This window comes from Homo sapiens, chromosome 16, assembly GCF_000001405.40.
Source record: "Homo sapiens chromosome 16, GRCh38.p14 Primary Assembly".
NCBI lineage: Eukaryota > Metazoa > Chordata > Mammalia > Primates > Hominidae > Homo > Homo sapiens.
The window spans coordinates 33,681,618-33,705,346 of NC_000016.10; the positions used below are offsets into that span (position 1 = coordinate 33,681,618).

A 23,729-nucleotide genomic window follows, 5' to 3' on the forward strand; every position below is an offset into this window, starting at 1 on the left:
AGATCAATAACGTCTCCTTATTGTCATGAAACATTCTTGACTCAACCTCACTCAGCTGCTGACAGGGTCGTGAAAATCCCAGGGGTCCCTGGACGGCACAATTGAGTGCCACTGGTTTTTTGGAGAAAAGTTTGGAGGAGTACTGGGGAGTTTGGAGAGGGTCCAGGGAAGGCCGCACCGACCAGTGGTCTCAGGGCCAGCATCAGAAGGAGCAGCAAGGAGGTAGAGGCAGGGAGAGGGAGGTAGGAGCTGCCGCATTCCAGGCACAGGGAACTGCAAGTGTTGAGGACCCCAGGCAAGTGCACTGAGGAATGAAAGGCCGCTGTGGCCAGAGCTGGAGGCAGCAGAAGAGAGGCCCTAGAGGAGGGCAGGGGCCACAGCAGCAGTGAGGCCAGACAAGGGCCGCGGCCTAGAAGCAAAGGGAAGCCATGGAAGGAGCCTCGGAAAGTGACATCAAGTTTGCATGTTTAAAAGCCACGCTCAAGAAGTGCCGTCAGTCATTAGAGACAGGTATCAGCCAAATAATCACATAAATACTTTTAAAAAACTAAACAATAATTTGGTAATTTCTTGGCTATGACACTAAAAGCACAGGCAACAAATGAAAAAATAAATTGGACTTTATCAAAATTAAAAAACCTTTGCGCATCAAAGGACACTATCAGAGTGAAAAGACACCCCAAAGAATGAGAGAAAATATTTGTGAATGGTTTATCTGATAAGGGTTTAATATCCAGAATATAAAAAGAACTTCTACAATTCAATAACAACAAAAAATCTGATTCAAAGGACTTGAATAGACATTTCTCCAAAGAAGGTCTATAGATGGCCAATAAGCACACAGAAAGATGCTCAACATCACTAGTCATTACCGACATGCAGATCACAAGGAGATGCAACTTCACACTAGGATGCCTGTTTTTTAAGAAACCAATCAACCAACCAACAAAAAAACAGAGTAATGAGGGTGGTCTAGGCTATGGAGAAATTGAAACCCTTGTACGTATTGCTAGAAGGAATGTAAGGAATCCACAGCAGCTGTGGATACAGTGTGGCAGTTCCTCACACAATTAAACACAGAATGACATTTGACCCAGCAATTCCACTTTTACACACAGAACTGAAACAGAGACTCACACAGATATTTACACACCAATGTTCAAGCAACATTATTCCCAATAGCCCATACGTCCATCAGCAGATGAATGGATAAGCAACATGTGGTAAAGACATTCACTGGGAATATTATTCAGCCTTAAAAGGGAAGGAAATTCTGACACATGCTGCAACTGGACACACCTTGAAGACAGTATGCTAAGTGAAATAAACAAGACACAAAAAGACAAATATTGTATGATTCCGTTTGCAAATGTATCTAGAGTAGTCACTCAGAGACAGAAAACAGAATGGTGATTGCAGGGGCTGGGGGAAGGAGGGAATGAGGAGATGTTGTTTAATGGGTACAAAGTTTCAGTTTGGGATGATGGAAAGGCTCTGAAGATGGCTGCAACAGCACTGTGAAGGTAATTAATGCCACCGACTCATACAATTAAAAATTGATAAAATAAGTTTTATTATGCATATTTTATCACCAAACAAAAATTGGAAAAAACCAAAACACACAAAAAACAAGCCCACCCCTCCCCCACAAAAAAGTTACAGGACAGGCCACCTGGTCTAAATGTATGACACATCCTTCTCTCTCTACATGCCAGTTGGCAACCTTATTTTAGAATGTCCAAACTTTGCTTAAGAAAAGACTTAAAAGATTCCTCCAAATACCCACCCAACCAAAGTTTATCTGATTTTCAATAATAAGGTACCATCCCCAAATATGAAATTCTAAGTCTCATAATAAAACACCTTTGGCGGCCGGGCGCGGTGGCTCACGCCTGTAATCCCAGCACTTTGGGAGGCCGAGGCGGGCGGATCACGAGGTCAGGAGATCGAGACCATCCCGGCTAAAACGGTGAAACCCCGTCTCTACTAAAAATACAAAAAATTAGCCGGGCATAGTGGCGGGCGCCTGTAGTCCCAGCTACTTGGGAGGCTGAGGCAGGAGAATGGCGTGAACCCGGGAGGCGGAGCTTGCAGTGAGCCGAGATCCCGCCACTGCACTCCAGCCTGGGCGACAGAGCGAGACTCCGTCTCAAAAAAAAAAAAAAAAAAAAAAAACACCTTTGGCATTTAAATGTCCAACATCTTAACCTTTTGTCTTGTTAGAGGATTATAAAAATGTACAATACTTTAAAACCATGAAATAAACTAGGTAAAACTAAGAAGACACAAATAAAATACAATGTCCTTGCTGAAGACTCTGAATAATGGCTTTAAGAAATACCTGAGTCTGGCAAAATACTAGACACTAGAAGTCAGTACCAAGGGCAATTAAATCGATGCTCTTTTCCCGTCAGCGGGGTAAGCTCTGAAGCCTCCAGAGAGCTGAATCAGACCCGGTGGCTTTCCTGTTTGCTCAAACATTTATTTCTGAAATGGCAGCCATGTCACCAAATGATAATACTTAAAGCAAGTTCACAGGTTTTGTTAAAAAAAGAAAACAATCTAGTACATCCACAAATAGGAAACCAAACACACCTGAACACATCTATGATTAAATAAGAATATTTAATGGCATGGAAAGATACGTACACTATAGGTTCAATATGTTTTCAAAACATACCCAGCACCTATGGCTGCCTGTGCATAGTAAAAAGATAGAAAGGTACAACAGAATAATTTTTACAATTTACAAAGTTTAATGCAATTGAGAAAGGTTTCTATAAAAATTGTTAAAATAGTTCAGAGGGCAAATGCTTACTTTGCATAGCAATGCTTCGGTTACCTGGAATGCCCTCCCTTCTTTCTTCCAAGCAATTTTATGCCGCACGATGCTCAGTGGCTCTACTCCAAGTGCCAACAAGGTGAACAACCCAGTTCCTGCTCTCACGGAACTCACATTCTGGTGGAATTTATTTTTGCAACATACTTGTGACAATATCAAATTAATAAGCCATTAGTATTGAAAAGTAATTTACACACTCTCCAGTCTGGTCCTTATTTTGATATATGTCTTCCTATGAGATGGATGCAAACTCACAGCAAAAACTATGTGTATACATATAGCCACATGCTGCACGACGTTCAGTCAAGGATGGACCACATATACGGCAGTGGTTCCACAATATTGTATTTTTGCTATGCCTTTTCTATATTTCGATACACAAATATTTACCACTGTGTTACAACTGCCTACAGTAGTCAGTACAGTCACATGCTGCCCAGGTTTGTAGCCTAGGAGCAATAGGCCATACCATAGAGCCCAGGTGCACAGTAGGCTGTACCATCTAGGTTTGCGTGTCACTCTATGATGTTTACACAATGAAAAAATTGCCTAAATGATACATTTCTCAGAATATATCCCCATCCTTAACTGATGCGTGACTGTATTTTACTAACCTGGCCAGGTGGAACCTTCACCAATAAAAATTCTACATAGAAAATGCTATTTATTGTTTCTTTCAGACATTAGAGATTCCTTTAGTTTTAAATAATCTTGATATACAAACTTTTTATTTCCCTTGTTCTCCAAATATGATAAACCAAGATTTTTAATATTAACAGGTATGACTTCTGCCTACATACATTGTCTTTGGAAAAGGCAATTATCTGCAACTGTAATTAAACATTCTTTTATTTCCCCCATTGCTAAACAATTTCACTCTTCTGGCTAAAATATAAAACCATACAATTATAAATACTTATTTGCAAGGCTTCTCTTTGAACAAATTTGCTTTTTGTATAAGACACTTGCTGATCACCTTGTAAGCTACTTAAAACATGGTATGACTTAGAGTGCCTTGTATATTTTAGTTGAATTATAGTTTTGCATTTTAAAATATATCAATTATGCTATATAACAAATTAGTTTTAAATTATAATTGTTATGGGCTTACTATGTGTCAGTCCCCAGGCCTATCAGCATACTGGATGATCAAATTCACAATAGCTCTTGAGGAATAGAGGAAAATGTACACCCAGAGTTGCTCAGAGAGGTCTGGGCATGTTCCAATTGTCACTTCCCAAGTGGACCCAGCCCTGACAGGATCTTCACATCCTCTTCCCTTCTTATGGAGATACAAAGCTGAGCACCTGTCTGCTGACAACTTTAGGTTTTTAGAGAGCCTCTCAGACTAGGGCCAACTGCTCATAATCCTGCCGACCCTCTTTGGCCCCTATGATGTTGTAAAGGCAATGTGGTACTCCTATCAGCAGCGCACATACTATAACTGGTACAACACAGAGGTCACCATGGGCCCCATGCACAGATGACACAAATTCATGAAGTGTTCTACATACATACATATATATATATAAGTTTTTTTTTTTTGAAACAGGGTCTTGCCCTGTCACCCAGGCCGGAGTGCAGTGGTGCTATCATGGCTCACTGCAGCCTCAACCTCCCGAACTCAAGTGATCCTCCTACCTCAGCCTCCCAAGCAGCTGGAACTACAGGTATGCACCACCACACCAGGTGAATTTTTTATTTTTTGTAGAGATGAGGTTTTGCCATGTTGCCCAAGTTGGTCTCAAATTCCTGGGCTCAAGGGATCCTCCTGCCTTAGCATCCCAAAGTGCTGGGATTACAGGCGTGAGTCACTGTGCCCAGCTGCGTTCCATATTTCTACACACCCATGCATACCTGGAGGAGTATACTTGGGGAAAGTAAAGCTGAGGAAAGGTGAATAAAATCAGTGGGCTGTATTGATGTCAACATCCTGATTGTGATATGTGTGAAACATTACCACTGAAAGAAATTGGGCAAAATATACAACTATATGTGAATCTATGATTACATCGTATAGGATTAGATTCCCCATAACTATATCAACATACAATCATAAAATACATATATCGCCTATGTAATAGTATGATTACATCAATATAATGTTTAATTTAAAAAAAGGCAATGTAGCTAGGCAGGTATAACGCATGAGCATAATATGGGAAGCCTATCTCACTGATACATACAATTTCCTTGGTCTCTGCACATGAGACAACAATCTCCTAAGTCTAAAGCTTTAAAAAAGTACTTACTGTTACCTTGTCACTATACTAATGTGCAGAACATATGACATAAGATAGAAAATGTCCACGAGGGCCAGTGATCAAAGGAACCCATAGATCCCAGGTGCAGAGTAGGCTGTACCATCTAGGTTTGTGTGTCACTCAAACAAAAAACACAATAAAAACACTACACACTCTTCTCTAAAATTTTGCATGAGAGCTGAGGGTTCAAGTGAATATTTCTTTCTCTTCTGGAAGACTCCTCATGAAGGTGGTAGCATAAATAATTATCCACAAAGAATTGTCAGGCATTCATCCCTAATGAAAACTACTAAGCCAAAACTAACAAAAAAAAATTTAATGGTATTTTTGCAGGACAAAATAATTAAACTGAGGCAGGCAGAGGAAAGTAAGAGAATCCACACAACCACAGCTTACATCACTTTAAATCTCGACAGCCCCAAGTGATGAGAATGAACCCGGTCCAAGTAGTCCAGGCTTCTCTGTTCCTCTTGCAGGCACAGTTTGTGTAGAGACATCTCTTGAGTTCTTGCCCACTGACTTGTCATTCACAGGCATTCAAACTGTGATGTTTGAAACTGTCCACCTCTGCAGATCCAGGGACAGTCCCTCCAGTCCAAAGGCTCACTGAAACTGGCCCTCAGCCCCCTTCAAACTGGACTTCTGGTTTCTTCTTTCCTTCTGCCCCTGAATTTGGAAGAGCTTCTTCCTGAGGTCCTTCTGCCACTTCAGCTTCTCCTCCTCCTCCTTCTGCTTGGCTCTGAAGTGCTCTTTATTGTGCAGGTGCCGCTGCTCCTTGGCCTTCTTCATCTTCTGACTGTGCACCATACTCAGAGCATCCAGCAGTGTGAGGATCTGACAAGGACAAAAGCCGGTGAGTATCAGAATGCTCTCAGCCACCACACACTCACATCCTAAGCACTAAGACTAGAGGCAACCCACGATCCAAATGAATATTAACCGCATGAAAATGCATCCTGCGCTAGGAAGTCATTGTTGGCATGGAGACACAAGTGTGATCGCATTTTACCTTTACTACCTCTGTTCATCATTCTGTGGACACTGTGTGCAGCTAACCAAGACAGAAGGGTTCCCCAGTCATGTGCCTGTTATACCCCATCAAAAGAACAGGGCAGAGCAGGACCAGGCAAAGGAAGGGAAATTGACTCCAGCTCTTCCTCTGACTTTAGTTCCAGTGCCCTGAATAACTGAGACTGCAGTAGAAACAGGAAGTGTGCTACTGAGAGTGTTCTTTTCCTATCTAAATGCAGCGTGCAGTACGGCATGGGCGACAGTACCTTTCTTTCATGAGGCTCACGCATGACGGCCAGTCTCCGCCTGTCCTTTGCTTGGGTCTTGGGTTTGTTTTTTATTTTTTCTTTTTTCTTTTTTTTTGAGACAGAGTTTCGCACTGTCGCACAGGCTGGAGTGCAGTGGCCCGATCTCAGTTCACTGCAAGCTCTGCCTCCCAGGTTCACGCCATTTTCCTGCCTCGGCCTCCCAAGTAGCTGGGACTACAGGCGCCCACCACAACACCTGGCTAATTTTTTGTACTTTTAGTAGAGACAGGGTTTCACCATGTTAGCCAGGATGGTCTCGATCTCCTGACCTCGTGATCCGCCCGCCTCAGCCTCCCAAAGTGCTGGGATTACAGGCGTGAGCCACCGCGCCTGGCCTTGGGCTTGTTCTTAAATGGCAGGGCCTTCTGCAAGGCTTTTGGAATGTGCAGTGAATTAAAATGTTTCTTTTGCCTCAGGATTGGCTGAAAAGAAAAATAAAGACTGTGACATATTCAAATTATGATCAATGTGCATTTAAAACTTCTGCATAAAATCTTCTCATTGGGTTGACTTTTCCACAAGATCAGTAACACCAGAGTCTGCTGGCCCTGAGAAATCAGGACTCAATCATCCGCCAAGTATGAACTGCCTCAGTGGACACCCAAATTCTCACTAAACAGTAAACAGAGGTACAGAGAGCTTATACTTACAACTCTCCCCCCGAAACCCACTGTGCCTATTTCTATGGTATGGAACTATGAGGTCTCAACAGAACAGATGAACAGATCCCAGTTTCTTTTCATGGAAATTTCAGGCCTTGTCTTTGGGCCACTAAGGTGCTTAGTTCTCAGACTAACAAAAATAATCTAGCTTTTTGTCTTGACTACCAACCACTCTGGATTTTTTTTTTTTTTGAGATGGAGTCTCGCCCTGTCACCCAGGCTAGAGTGCAGTGGTGCGATCTTGACTCACACAACCTCCACCTCCCAGGTTCAAGCAATTCTCCTGTCTCAGCCTCCCAAGTATCTGGGACTACAGGCACACACCACCACGCCCGGCTAATTTTTGTATTTTCGGTAGAGATGGGGTTTCACCATGTTGGTCATGCTGGTCTTGAACTCCTGACCTCAGGTGATCCACCTGCCTTGGCCTCCCAAAGTGCTAGGATTACAGGCATGAGCCACCATGCCCGGCCCACTCTGGATTTAAGGACAGTTCTTCCTCCAATCAGCAGCCAAAGAGTCCTGATTCCTGATTCTAATTAAGAAGTTTAAGTTGGTATTCTATTTCTGATGGAAGGATGGCTAAAAGAAGGGAGACTCAAACAACAGATGAAGGCAAAATACTCTGTACTGAATTTTCAACATAATCTTAAATTCTATGTTTAATTGAGATGACCTAAATTCTTTTTTTTTTTTTTTTTTTTTTTTTTGATATGGAGTCTTGCTCTGTCGCCCAGGCTAAAGTGCAGTGGCATGATCTCGGCTCACTGCAACCTCCGCCTCCCGGGTTCACACCATTCTCCTGCCTCAGCCTCCCAAGTAGCAGGGACTACAGATGCCCGCCACCACACCTGGCTAATTTTTTGTATTTTTAGCAGAAATGGAGATGACCCAAATTCTTAACTGCCTCATAAATACTGTTAATATATTGAAAGTTTTGCCCTAAGCTTTTTATTAAAGTCAACTATATAGAAAAAGTTTCTCCTGTCTTGAAATATATTATTAAAGACATCATCCCTAATAATATTCCATATTCTCTGTTTAGGAACCCCAGTTGTTTTCAAATTCAAGAATTCAGAGAAATCTACTTGTTACAAAAGAGTAGAATGGATAATGGGCACCACATCCAGAAGTGTATTTTAATAAAAATTCATGTAAGATGGTTCAAAATTTCATTAACTACTTTATATAAAAAGAAATGCCTGGGAGACTTCTGTTTCTAGCAGAGTGGCAGAGTGATGCCTTGAACAACCCTCTTATTACAAAACTGAATACTCCACATGAAAACAAATCTTTTCAAATGCATTGTTAAGCTGTGAAGAGAAAAACAAAAGTTCTAAGAAACCAAAATCTAAATGAAAACACAAGTCCAGGCAGGCACTGAAAACTTAAAAAAAAAAAAAAAAACTCAAGAGGCCAATTGTTGGCAAGCATGTGGAACAGCAGGAACTCTTTAAGCTGCTGCTGGTGGTGGAGGCCAAGCCACTGTGCTCCCAGAACACGACACAGAACCCTCCACACTGAAGCAGAGCACAGGTGCCCTGGAGTCTCCACCCCACCCAGGGATCCCCCAGCAGAAGTGTGTGTGCCCCTGCATACCTGCAAGTCCCATATCCAGACCTAGTGTTCAGGGCCGTGGGATAACAGCCAAAAATAGGAAATCACTTTACTCATCAATGGAAAAATGGTGACACAGTCATATAATGGAACTCAACAATGACAATAAATCAGTATCTGCCATAGACAAGAACACAGATGTATTCTGTAATACTGAACCAAAGAAGCCAGGCTAAATAGAATATGCTGTATTTTATAGAAGTCAAAACCAGGTAGAACAAATCTACATCAGGAACTGGGAAAGTAGCTATTTTGTGGGTTGGGGCAGCAGTGCCTGGGAGAGGCCACAGGTCAAGGCTACTGCTTGGTCCAGGGCGTGGCAGCCTGGTGTGCTATAGTTCATCTAGATGCACACTTATGATTTGGGCACTCTTCTGTATGGACATTAACATTTCAATAAAAAGCTTATTAAAACATTAAAGCTTTCAGAAAAATCCACATTGCTTCAGTAGAAATTAGCACATTAACATTTAAAAAAATACATGTATACGGTGGGGGAAAAAATAGTTCAAAAGAGTACCCAGTGAAAAGTTTAAGAGGGAGTGACGCCAGCAAGGGGCTGATCAATAGCCCCTTGCACTCATCCCCTGACAAAGACAGCCAAAGCAGCAAACAACTATATTTTGATGAAAGTCACTAAAAGAGAGCCCCAGAGTGCATCAAGGAGTAGCAGAAATCCAGTAGAGCACAGAAAACCAGGATGGTCACATAAAGGAGGGAAGGAAACATCTGGCCCCCACCACCCATTCCCCCAGAGGGATCAGCCTGAAGCAGAGGGGATGTCTCCCTGCAGGGATAAGGAAGCAAGAGGGGCCCAGTAGCCCCAGCACTCCCCTCAGAGAAGGAACTGACATTGTGCCCCACCCCCATGGACCAGCTGCTGCTGCAACGTGCCCTCCTGGACCTGGACCACTTCGGGAGCATGTCCCACCCAGGGTGAGCAGCCACCGCACCCTTCTTCCATCCTCAGGCTTTGTTGCTCTATATCACACCCACCTAGTGGCCCACCACCCCCGAGCCACTGTTACACTGTCTTAGGCCATTTAGTGTGGCTGTAACAGAATACTTGAGACTCGGGGTAACTTATTTTATAAAAAAGGTTTATTTGGCTCACCCTGCTTGTGTCTGAAAAGTCCGAGATCGGGCAGCACAACTGGCGAGGGTCTTGTGCTGCTTCATCTCATGGGGAAAGTGGAAGGCGAAACAGGTGTATGCAAGGGGCTCACATGGCAAGAGAGGAAACACGAGAGTCTAGGAAGCCGAACTCACTCTGATAACAATCCACTCCTGGTAACTAATCCAGTCCCATGAAAAGGCATTAATCTATTCATAAAGGATCTGCCCTGTGACCCAAATACCTCCCACTAGGCCCCACCTCCCACACCACCACATTTGGAATCAAATTTCAAATGGATGAAATTTCAAATGGCTGGTGGGAACAAATGATGTCCACATCACAGCATACACCGCACCTGCGGGGCCACACTGCTGTGCCCCTCCCCTCCCAGCTGCCATTGTGCCCTGCCCCTTGGAGCCTGAGCTGACTTGGTGCCCTGCTTTCCAGGGAATCAGTGCCTTGGCCAGTCTGAGCAGTCACACCCCCCACTGCACGAGAGCTGAAGCACTGCCCTGCTTCACAGGGAATCAGTGTCTTGGCTGAGCTGAGCAGCCACACCTGCCAGGGATGAGCCAACATGGCACCCCCATATCCCGGGAAAACAGCATTGGCTGAACTGGGGTACCTTGCCCTTCAGGACAAACAACTGTAGAACCCTGCTTCCTTGGAACTGGACTAGCCCTGGAGAATCTGAGTTGCCCAGGCACCTGCCTCCCCAGGGAGAGAAGTAGTTGCTGCACTGGTCCCTGCCCCTGAGGGCCCAAGCCACAGTCGTGCTCCACCATTCTGGGGTCCTTGTTGATGCTGCGCCTGGTCTCACAGAGACTGAGGTGCTGCTGTGTCCCATCACTGCAGGGTCCAGCGTCACTATCATGTCACTCCCATGTCCAGAGTCACTCCCATCCCCTGGAGTTTACTTCTTAAACTCTTCGCAAAAACAGAGCAAGAGGAAATAATTCCAAACACATTTTACCAGGCCAGTATCACCTTAATACCTAAGCCAAACCAAAACACACACACACACACACACACACACACACACACACCAAACAAACAAAAACTACAGGTCAACTTCTCCAATAAATTAAACACTGATGCAAACATCCTAAAAAATTTTTAGCAAATAGAATTCAACAACACATCGAAAACATTATACATCGTGTTCAAGTGGGATTTACCCCTGGCATGCAAGGCTGGTTAAAACTATGTAAATCAATCAATGTGATATATCACATTAACAAAATGAAAGATAAAACGACATGGTCACCTCAATTGATGCAGTAAAAGCATTTAACAAAGTTTAGCAACCTTTCTTGATAAAACCTCTTAATAGTTTATGTATAGAAGGAAAGTTCCTCAACATAATAAAGACCATTTATGAAAAACCCAGTCTAATCATAGTTAGTGGGGAACAACTAAAGCTTTTCCACTAAGATTGAGTACAAGATAGGGATGGCCAGCCTCATCACTTTTATTCAGTAGAGTACTTGCAAGAGCAATCAGATGAGAAAAAAAAGGCAACTAAATTAAAGAAGTAAAATTATCTCTATTTGCAGATGACAAGATCCTTTACGTAAAAAACTCCAAAGATTCCACAAAAAACTGTGAGAACTACTAAATCAATTTAGTTAAGCTGCAAGGTATAAACTCAACATATAAAAATCAGTTGCATTTCTATATACAAATAACCTAGCTGACGAAGCAATCAAGAAAATAATCTCATTTATGATAGCATCAAAGAAAAACAAAAACTTAGGAATAAATTTAACCAAGAAGGTGAGAGATGTGTACACTTGAAAACCATAAAACATTGATGAAAGAAATTTAGACATGAACAAATGGAAAGACATCCTATGTTTATGGATCAGAAGAATTAATATTGTTAAAATGTTCACACTACCCAAAGCAAATATACAGATTTAACACAATCCTCATCAAAGTTCTGATGGTATTCTTCACAGAACAGAATAAAACAATCCTGGCCAGGCACAGTGGCTCCCAAAGTAATTCCAGCACTTTGGGAGACTGCAGGTGGGCGGATCACAAGGTCAGGAGTTGGAGACCAGCCTGGCCAACATAGTGAAACCCTGTCTCTACTAAAACTACAAAAATTGGCCGGGCATAGTGGCATATGCCTGTAGTCCCAGCTACCTGGGAGGCTGAGGCAGAAGAATTGCTTGAATCCAGGAGGCAGAGGTTTCAGTGAGCCGAGATTATGCCACTGCACTCCAGCTTGGGCAACAGAGTGAGACTTTGCCTCAAAAAAAAAAAAAAAAAGAAAAGAAAAGAAAAGAAAAAACAATCCTGAAACTCATATGGAACCACAAAAAACCCCAAACAGCCAACAGATTACTGTGAAAGAAAAAGTTGGAGGCATCACACCTCTTGATTTAAAATTGTATTACAAAGCTATAGTAATCAAAACAGTATGGTGCTGGCATAAAAACAAAAAAATAGACAAATGGAACAGAACAGAGACCTTTGAAATAAATCCAAACATATACTGTCAACTAATTTTTGACAAGGGCAAACAAGACAACACAATGGTAAAAAAGATAGTCTCTTCAATAATAGGATTTTCACATGCAAAAGAATAAAATTGGACCCTGATCATACACCATACACAAAAATCAACTCAAAACAGATACAAGACCAAAGACCCAAATAAGACCTGAAACCATAAAACTCCTAGAAGAAAACATAGGGGGAAAGCCTCTTGACATTGGCCTTAGCAATAATTTTTTGGATATTGCACCACAAGCCAGGCTACAAATGTAAACATAAACAAGAAGGACTGCATCAAACTAAAAAGCTTCTGCACAGCAAAGGCACAACCAACAAAATGAAAGGGGAACCTACAGACTGGAAGAAATATTTGCAAACCACATATCTGATAAAGTGTTAATATCCAAAAATCAGTAAAGAACTCTTACAACTTAATAGCAGAAAAACAACCCAGTTGAAAAATGGGCCAAATAGGAAATGACCAATAGGAAATGGGGAGATGTACATTAAAATAATACAAAGTAGCAGACATGTAGGATGAACAAGTTAGAGATCTAGTGTACATCATGAGGTCTACAGTTAATAAAAATATATTGTCTTTGGGATTTTTGTTAAATAAGTAGATTTTAGCTGTTCCTGTCACACAAACAAAAATCTAACTATGTGAGATGGTAGCTATGTTAATTTGCTTCACTATAGTAACCAGTTTACTATCTATATGTATCCTTTAAGATCACATTGTCAACCTCAAATATATAAAATAAAATTTATTTTAAAAAAGAAAAGTTTGTCTTCAATCCAGAAAGAACCACTATTACCATTTTTTGGTGTTCCATTCCAAAATATCCCACAAATATACAATTGTTCAATCAAATTTAACGTTAGACTTTATACTTGAATATTCAAAGTACGTAAGAAATTATAGAAAAGTGTCTGTGTGACTCCCTGTCTGTAGAGCACAGGCTTCATCTCCACTAACACACACACGACCAGTACCTTATACAGAGAGTCCTTATTTGCCTTTAGTCTGACACCATAGGCGAGCCTGAGTTGGCCCGTGGTCCACATTCCTGACCAGGTGTCTTTCTCACCCACTGGTTTCAACAAAGATGTTACTGGGTTATAGAAGGCTGGGATGGAAACAGGATACCAAGTTCGCATGAAGACAATATCTGAAAAGAGGTAATTTACTTTAACATTTTCAAAAGAAGATTCATATCCATATTGCGAAGAAACAAAAGAACAAAACCTTCACTCCAAACTTCTCTACCTGGCTGCAAAGTATTTGAAGGGAAAGCTCGCTAAGGAAACTATTCTCATAGATCACAGAACTGTTACTGGGTGTGGCCAGGGTACTGCAGACACAAAGCGAATGGGCACACCGCATAAGACTGGGAGATCTAAGGCTGGAGCTGCTCAACTCTCTGGAGACCTGACTCCAGCCTCTCGTCATACTGGCTAGAAGTCAAGCATGAATGGTAATACCCTGCCCTGAACACTACTTAAGACACTCACCGCTCATCAGCAGCTTATCCTCAAAGCTGGCCCGGAAAGCTCCTTCTGGAGCACAGAGTGCTTTCTTGATCTGCCCCCTTATCCCACTGACAGTTCAAATCACAGCACCTTCAAATTTGGCCACTTCCAAGGCAGAATTAAATATTCCCTACAGGTATAGCAAGATAAAAACACACACACACACAAAATCGTATACTTTATGCTTTACTTCTTACTTCAAACATACATCCTTGATTAAAGAACAAAAACAACTCACTGAAGGGTGATAAAATAATCAAAATGTATTTGCCCCTGAAAGTGGAATTACTACCTCAAAAAGAATACAACTCTTTCATTTTCCCCAAAATAATCATGTGAGTTCATGGGCATGCTCATCACTGCTGTCTGTGTGGAAGAGAAGATCGAAGAGGGATTTACTGGACTGAACTGGCCTAGGAAGCCTTTGCTGGCATCTCTCAGACTGGACTGCAGCCCAGATCCTTTTACTTAGATGCATGCACTTAGAACACGAAAACAGTAAGATAAACGCCGGTGGTATTATTACTTTATATTCCAAGAACATTTTAAGACTTCCTAACTCTGTGTTTTCAATAGAAACATCCTCACTAATGAAATTGTCAATAAATGTGCTCAAACCACCCTCCCCAAATACTGAAAAACAGTACATCCGTTTCTCTGTACCCTTGCCAAGTTGTTTGCAAATGCTTTGTCAATTTTTCTACTGAGTTAGACAAACTTGTGATTTTTTTCCCTTTCTTAACACAAATTTAAAAAGTAGGAAACAAAACCTAGTGGATAAAATGACATATTTTCAATATGAGTTCTGTGGCAGTCTCACATGGAAGTCAGGAGTAACAGCCTCAATTCCTAAATAGCTGTTTACCTCTGCTTTTTTGAGCATATTTAAGTAATACAGAATATAAAGGAGCAAACAAAATATGAAGTTTATAAAAGATTTCAAACACTTTTCTAAAAATATGAGGCCCATATTTTAGACGTATTTCATTCCTTTTCTCAAACAATATGGACATTTATAAATTTGAGAATATATAGATATACAGACCTTAATAAATGAAGTGTTCTTGAAAATTTTATATGGAAAACCAGTTAGCTTTAATTTCTTCACAATTTTTATGGATTTATCCAGATCAAGGACAACTCCTGTGGCAGCTATCCGAAAATCAGGCTAACAGGAACCCCAAAATTTGAAAATAGGAAAAATATTAGCAAGAGAAAAACTTCAATTCTATTTGACACAATAAATTACCAAAGTGAATTTTACTTACAATTAGCTAAGAAAAACAAGAGAGACCATCTGAACTTGCAACCCAGTGGTTTGACAAAAGCAATCCAAAACTTTAAAGTTGGTAAGCCAAACTAACAAGAGTGACTTGAGGCCGGGCACAGTGGCTCATACCTGTAATCCCAGCACTTTGGGAGGCCAAGGCAGGTGGATCACCTGAGGTCAGAAGGTTGAAACCAGTCTGGCCAACATGGCTAAATCCCGTCTCTACTAAAAATACAAAAATTAGCTCAGCATGATGGTGCATACCTGTAATTCCAGCTACTCGGGAGGCTGAGGCAGGAGAACCACTTAAACCCAGGAGGCAGAGGTTGCAGCGAGCCAAGATCGTGCCACTGCACTCCAGCCTGGACGACAGAGTGTGACTCTCTCAAAAAAAAAAAAAAAAAAAAAAAGGCTACTTGAGTACTTTCCTGAGAGTGATTTCAGAGGAATGTAATTTTACTATAATGATTTATTTGGAACGAAATGGAAAAGAAAAATACAGTTGCAATGTTTAGGAAACTAAAATTTGGACCTCCAGGGAAGATTCCATCTGCTCATTATTCTGCTTCCTTCTCTGTTAAATGGGACCAGTAAACCCTGCCCTGCCTGACTGGTCAAATGAAAATGGAGTGAACAGACTGCTACCCCAGCACAGCTGCAGGGAGTCTTGTATCTGGGTGGTCTCTGATGGCTCCTCACAACCTCATATAGTGCTTAGCACATGGTGAGCACTGCTTAAGTACCTCCTTAGATGAATAAATGCAAAAGATGCACAAAAATAGGAAATGTACCATCATAATTCTTCCACCTCCCCTCCTCTAATCCCACACCCTACTGAAAAGGATGTACAAAGATTAAAAGCAAAGGGAAATTTACTTTATATTAATAAAAATGTGTAATTTTCAACTTAAAGTCTGATGTACATAATAACCCATATTCAGGATATATTTCTCAAACCAATCTGTAAAAGAAATCATCCAAGATAGTTACCATTATGCCACTGACAGACTGTATTGCCAAGAAACCAGTTCCCTGTGGAGTGACAGGGTCTTAAAGGAAAAGGAAAAAAAGAAATATAGCAAACCACAAATTTTAGATTCTAGTTTAACATACTGGATATGGACATTTAGATTTGGATATAGATTTACATATATACTCCAAACCACCTCCCTGCTCCCAGAAAAGAGAAAAATCTTAGAAGTGGAATTTTATGAAAGGAAAAGCACAAAGCTAAAATAACACAGCCTGTAAGGTTTAATCTCGGCAATAGGCAAGTTATTGTAATCATATTTTACCCCAAAAGGCTGCTCCGCAATGCATGTGCTGTGGGGTATACTTTAGAAGCCTTTGTCTTCCATTATGGTCTTCGATATAATAGAGCGGGATGGTCTGAAACCTCCTCCACCCTACAGAAAATATGATTGGATCTCGGGACTTGAGGATTTTCTTATACCAGCGATGTTTCTTCAGATGCATCTGAGGGGGATGAGAGTGTAAGATGATTGATGGAGGGGAAATCCACAGAGCCTTAGGCACCAAATATGCAGCAAAGGGACCCACCTGCACGTCTCCAACATTTCCCTCACTGTTGCCCAAGCCACCCAGGATAATGGGGTAATGGGGGTCAAAGTTCTGCACAAATTCACAGGGAACATTTTCAATCTCAACGCGGACGTACACCCCAGGCCGAAAACCCTCATATGGAACTCTGGCTTCATCATCTTGATCTTCAAATTCTGTGCGATTCAGCTGTACATGACAGGGGGGGAAAAAAACCTGTATGCTGTTATCTGTAATAAACATAGGATTAACATGAACAAATGAGCAATTTCTAAGTAAAGGAACTGTGGACAGAATTATGTAGGCTTTATCCTATTAAAAATACTACACATTTGGCCGGGTACAGTGGCTCATGCCTGTAATCCCAGCACTTTGGGAGGCTGAGGCGGGCAGATCACATGAGGTCAGGAGTTTGAAACCAGCCTCGCCAACATGGTGAAACCCCATATCTACTAAAAATACCAAAATCAGCTGGGTGTGGTAGTGCGTGCCTGTAGTCCCAGCTACTCAGGAGGCAGAGGTGAGAGAATCGCTTGAACCTGGGAGACGGAGGTTGCAGTGAGTCAAGATCATGCCACTGCACTCCAGCCTGGGCAATAGAGCGAGATTCCATCTCAAAAAACAAAAAAACAAAAAAAACCTACACATTTTACCTCTACAGTCTGTTCAGAATATGTCTCAACCGTTTTCTTCTCTCCTGCTACAAGGCACGGCAAATGTAGATAACTGTGGAGCCCTGCGTGCTTGAACACTGGAAACATCCCCAGTCCACACCTTCTTTCCTTCCTCTCCAAATAATTCTTTCACACTTTTCCCTTGTCTTCAAACACCCACCACCATCCTCACCTTCACTCAGCTGATGGCTGTTTCCTGATTCACTCCAAAACCAAAAGAACCTCTACGGTCAACCCTCTACCAGGGTTTCCTCCCATATCCAGCCTTATCAGAGCTCTGACCTGGCCCATAGAGGAGCTATGTGTGGCTATTTAAATTAAAATTAATTACTATTACATAATATTTAAAATGCAGTTCCTCAATCACACTAGTCACACTGGAAGTGGCCCATATCAACCTGCGGCCAGTGTTACAATATTGGGAAGCACAGACGTGCATCTCCATGATCACAGAAAGTTCTATGGGCAGCTCAGGCACAGATGATTTGTTCATGCCTCTACTCAGGGCCACACATCACTTGCTCACTAGACACCATCCACTCTTCCTGGACTTTATTCCAACAGCTCTTCCCTCTGTTCTCTCTCTTTTCTCAAAACCTTTTGATTCCACTTCTTCCACCAACAACTGCTTCATTTCTCTGCTTCTCTCTGCAGCAAAACCCCACAAAAGTTTTCTGCAGTTGCAGCCTCCAGTTCCTCTGCTCCCATTCTCCTACATCCATGAAAATTGGTGTTTGCCAAGATCGCTGAAGGCCTTCAGGCTGAAGGACTCCTCCAGTGGTCAACTCTGCCTTCACCGTAGTTAACACAGCAGGGGATCTGAACGGTGCTTCGCCTCCGTGTACAACTGGACTCCTGCATGCCTGCATGCTCACACTGCTTCTCCCTCTCCCTCCTAGGCACTGCTCAGGCCTCACGGCCGCAATCACCCCATCTCGCCCATGCCAGTCTTGCTCCTCCCAGTCACTCTGCACTCACTCCCCGGCCACCTCACAGCATTAAGTGGCATCTACATGCTGAGGGCTGTACATCTAAGTCCCTGGCCAGACCTGTCTCTCCAGACTTGACACTCCGCTTGTCTGCATGATACCCAGCCGAACCAAACATCATCTTCCCAAAACTACATCTGCAGAGGGTTTCCTATCTAACCTGCAACAACCCATCCTTCCAGGAACTTCCAGTCGCCATCCTCATTTCCTCTCACACACCCCACATTCAGTCCACCAGGAAATCCTACTGACCCAGCTTCCAAAGAAACTCTATCCAGGTTTGACTCTTTGTCTCATCTCCACTGCCAGCCCTCTGGTTTGTGCCACCAGACTGATCTCTACCAGACTGATCTCTTGGCAAAGTGATCTGATTACCTGAATGTCTCTCTTCTGCTCAAAACCCTCCAAGGACTCCCATTTCAGAGTGAAACATTCAGTCTTTTCCAATGGCTCACAAGGCTCTGGGTAGTTTTAAATTGTAAATGGTGTGAAGCAAAAACTTCAGTTAGGCTAGTCATGCCTTTCAAAGGTCAACACAGACTAGCAACCACTAAGTTAATGCTTAATCAGGAAACAGTACTTTGACTAGATGAAGACCTAGGATGAAACTCCATTTCACAAATCATATACCTAATCTGTTCCAGCTTACACAGGCACTCCTGGCCTCGCTAACAAGACGCAACTCAGATGCTCACCATCAACTGTACACATGTTTCTGTGTCTGTCTCCTTCAGAGTGAGATCACTGCCTCCAACAACCTGCTCAGCACCCCCAGGCTGGAGGGCCACACCATCTCCCTTATCTCCGCATCTGACCTTATACTCCACATGTCCTTCTGAACTCTGACCAGGATGAGTTTTCAGAGCACTTCCCCTGGGAGCTCTGGTGTGTCCATAAGCCACACGGGCCACTGATCACCTGCCACTCAAATCAGGGAGCAGCGATCAGAATAGGCAGCATTGGCTTGCACTGAAATGAACACACTGTCTCAGATCACTACATTGTAAAAGTCTCAAAAGTAGAGACCATGTTTCAGTCATTTCGGTTTCCTAATTCTTGTTACAAAATAGGTATGGATCTTTTTCTGGTGACCTTCTGACTGTAGAAACAATGAGCTCACTGCATGAATAAACACACTCACATGCATCTACCCAGGAGTCCAAATGAAAGGCACAGAAGCAGGATAGGAAGCAGGGACCCAAAGAAAGTCAGGGATTCCTGCACTATGTGATAGTCTTGACAAGGGGCTGAGAGGAACTGAGGTTTCTCACCTGTGCTTGTTTCTGCATTTCTCCTTTAAGATCATCAAAATATGTGCTTTCTCCTTCATCATATTCCTCATCAAACATCTCCTTCAATTTTCTCTTCTTATCCAAATGCTTTTTCTTGGCACTTTCTTCTTTGTCGGGGTCAATTTCTTCCTTGTTTCTCTATATCTTCATTCTTAAATTTCCAGAAGAAAAAATTTTGTGTATGTTTATGAAGGTCTTTTCTTTAAACATTAGATTTTTTAAAGTTCTATTTAAACAAAAATCTTAGCAAAAATCTGTTACCATTATCAATAAAATGAAACAAACCACAACACAACCTTTTTCTCTGAATAACATGGTACTGCTACAGGAAATTGTTACATCTGCATTACAATTAGCTGCTATTCCTTAAGCTGGCTGGGAACACAAACTAGAATAAAAATAACAGACATGTCCCTCACCCAGATGCTCCCAGAACCTGTTCTAAAGAAATATTAGGGAGAACAGGGACTTCATTCATTTAAATGACACTTAAATTTAAAAAGAGGAGAATGATGGCAATGGTTGAATGTAAGTCTGAGAAGCTAAGACTTCTGTGAGTGAAAAATCACAGTGGACTTGGCAAATGACTATGGCAAGAAATGGTAGTAACTGTCGTCCAAAACTTAACAAGTAAACAAGAAAGCTTCTCTTTGGTCCCCACATCCCCACCCTTTAGGAAGGAATCTATCCATCCAGTCTGCAATCTTCACACATCACAAGTAAGATTTGCATTTCTCAATGTGGGCCTCTCTCAGAACACAATGACCAAGAACAGCCAGCTACGACAAAGTCATACCTGAGTATCGGGGCCCGATTTTCCCTTGTGCACGTCCCCTGTTTCCAAGTCTTCAAAGTCACCATAGAGCTCCTCTGGGAAAAGAACACCCAAAGGCTGCTCTGTGAGCCAGGCATGCATGTGCTGCTGGCCCCACCCACAACAGGCCCACAATGCGCTCCACGTTCCAAGCCTCATTCTCACTGTTCCCGTCACTACACACACAGGCAAAACTTTACACTAGGGAATGCTTCGTAGAACAGTTAGTATTTCATCATCTGTTTAGGTAAACTAAATGGACCCAATCCACATTTCCGCACTTCATGTCAAAATCCCAATCTCAATTTTTCCAGTATAGATAATGGACACTCTTTTGTTTTTGTTTTTTAGGAGATGGAGTCTCACTCTGTCACTCAAGCTGGAGTGCAGTGGCATGAACTCAGCTCAATGCAACCTCTGCCTCCCAGGTTCAAGCAATTCTACTACCTCAGTCTCCCGAGTAGCTGGGATTATAGGCACCCGCCACCAGGCCTGGCTAATTTTTGTATTTTTAGTAGAGAGGGAATTTCACCATATTGGCCAGGCTGGTCTCGAACTCCTGACCTCGTGATCTGCCCTCCTCAGCCTCCCAAAGTGCTGGGATTACAGGCATGAGCCACTGCACCCGGCCAATGGACACTCTTTATGAAAGACACAGAGGTCTATCTGTGTCCCCCAAGCGAATAATTCAAAGAGTGAATGGAAAAGTCCCATGCTGATAACCAGCATATGTGAAAAGGAGTCTCAATGTAAGTTCAACACAACGCAATCATGTAACACACCTAGGGGAAATTTTAGATTATATAAAACATAGCATTTAGATTAACAGTAGAGCCCCAAACCACACCAAACCCATGGGAAGAGCTTATTCACTCATTCATTCCTTCATTTGTTTTTGGAGCTCTGGGCTCAATTATAGTTCCCACTCTTAGAAGAAATAGACAAGTAAGGCTGGGTGCAGTGGCTCACACCTGTAAACCCAGCACTTTGGGGGCCCGGGAGGCAGAGGTTGCAGTGAGCCATAATTGCATCACTGAACTCCAGCCTGGGTGACAGAGTGAGACCCTGTCTCAAAAAAAGGAAAACAAAAGAAAGAGGCAAGTTAAAACTCATTTGGGAGAGCAATGTTTAGAAGGCTATTAAAACATTTTCACATAAGGGCCAAAGAACCAGGTAGACGTTATAAAAGATAGGAAGCTCCTATTTGTAATAAAAGCAAAAAAAGATAAAATAGGAATAAACCTAACAAGAAGTGCACTGGAACTTTATTTTTTTAAAAAAGAAGAAAAGCTTTAATATGCTACCAAAGGACAAAAGGAATAGCATCACTACCAACACTCGTAAGTGCTCTCCACGCTAGGCACTGCGTTAAGTACTTTCCTTGCCTTAACCACATTCTTCAACCTAAGGAAGTAGGTGTTGTAAATATTATTTACTGAATAATGATATGTCCTCATTTGAAAAGAAAGACTCGACATCACAAATACGCCAATTCTCCCTTTAGCACAGTTACAACCCGAAACCACCACTAAGGATTTCTGGTCTAGAGAAGATAATACATTATACCCTCCTAAGAAATGTAACCCAAACTCTAGAAATAATAGACAGGAGATGATCAATGGAGAATTCCGAAAGGTGGACAGAAAAAGGCTGCTGAGGGACTCTAGGACTAGGGAATGCATAGTGGCCAGGTGTCTCCCTGGACCTCATCCAATAGGAAGGTGACCCAGGCCCAGAGTTTCCCAACTCCTAACGTAGCAATAGAAGGCAACCCAGGCAGACTCAGTCCCCGCAGATCAAAGGAGATCTTCCCCACAACAAGAAAACCAGCTCCACACACCAAGACAACCACCATTCCCCACCCATCTAGCTGCAGCAGGTGGCCCAGCCTGGGGCAGCTCCCCTGTTCCCTCAGGTGGGCAACAGCAGGGACTGGTGGGAGAATCCCAGTGATACATATAAGCCAAACAGACCAAAATAACACCATGAAGGCTCTGAAATTAAATTGCCATTGGAATCTCAGCCCACAAAATAGACCAAGACCTACAGACTAAACCTAAACAGGAAGACTGCCTGCAAAAATAAAAAAATTACATAGGCAGATGTTGGAACCATCTGACTCATCACTTATAACAGTCAGTATAAAAGTGCTTCAACAAGCAACTACAAATGCTATTGCAACAATCAAAGAACTGAAAACATCAGCAAAGAAACTGAAGAAGAATCAAATGGAAATTACAGAAATATGAAATACAGTAACAGAAATTTTAAAAAAATCTAACTGGATGGGCTCTATTGAGTAAAAGTGGAGACGACAGAGGAGACAATCAGAGAAGCTGAAACCTGATCAACAGAATTCACCCAGCCTAAACAATAGATAGGAAATAACCTGAAAACAAATGAACAGAGCTGCACGGACCTGTGAGACGATAACAAAAGACCCCACATTTATGTTATCTGAGTCCCACAGGAGACCAGAGCTGCGAAAGCATGCAAATAACTAATTCCTGACACTTCCCACATTTGGTGAAAGATATAAACTTACAGATTCAAGAAGCTGAGCAAACCTCAAAGTATACCAAAAGAAAGCAACACTGATTAAACTCTCAAAACTAAAAACAAAGACCAAAAATGGCAGAATGCCTGTAGGGACACGCCAACTCAAATGCCATGGAGGCCAGAAGGAAGTGGCACAACATTTTCAAGTGCTTAAAAAAAAACAACCAAACAAAAAACCAACCAAACAAAAAAACTGTTGGCTGCAAATTCTATATCCCATGAAACTACCCTTCAGAAATGAAGAGAGAAATAAAGACATTCTGAGAGGAAAAGAATATAGGAATTTGTCACCGGTCAATTTAGAAATGCTAAAAAGTGGCTACAGAAATATGTTGTGTCATTTCCACAATACAAAAAATTAAAACAAAAAAATCAAAATAAAAAAATGGCTACAGAAAGTTCTTATGCAGAAGGGATGAATATGGGACTATGGGAGGAGGGACAAAGGAAAGACCAGAAATGTGGATACATACGCGAGACAATCCACAGTTCTTAAAATCACATTTGACGACTGAAACAAAAACTATACCACCACCTAATACTCAAGCCAGTGATTTATACAAGTGGAAAAGGTAAAGAGACATAAATGCAAGGCAGGTTTCCACACTTTGAAGTGGTAAATACTGGTACCAGTAGACTACTATATTACAATGCACATATTGTTAACATCCAGAGCAAACACTTTAAGACTATACAAAGAGATACACGCAAC

The 23,729-nt window shown here is 42.0% G+C and overlaps 1 pseudogene; it reads right to left on the reverse strand.

The window, feature by feature from the left end:
- On the reverse strand, positions 1,550–20,515 carry BMS1P8 (BMS1 pseudogene 8; annotated as a pseudogene).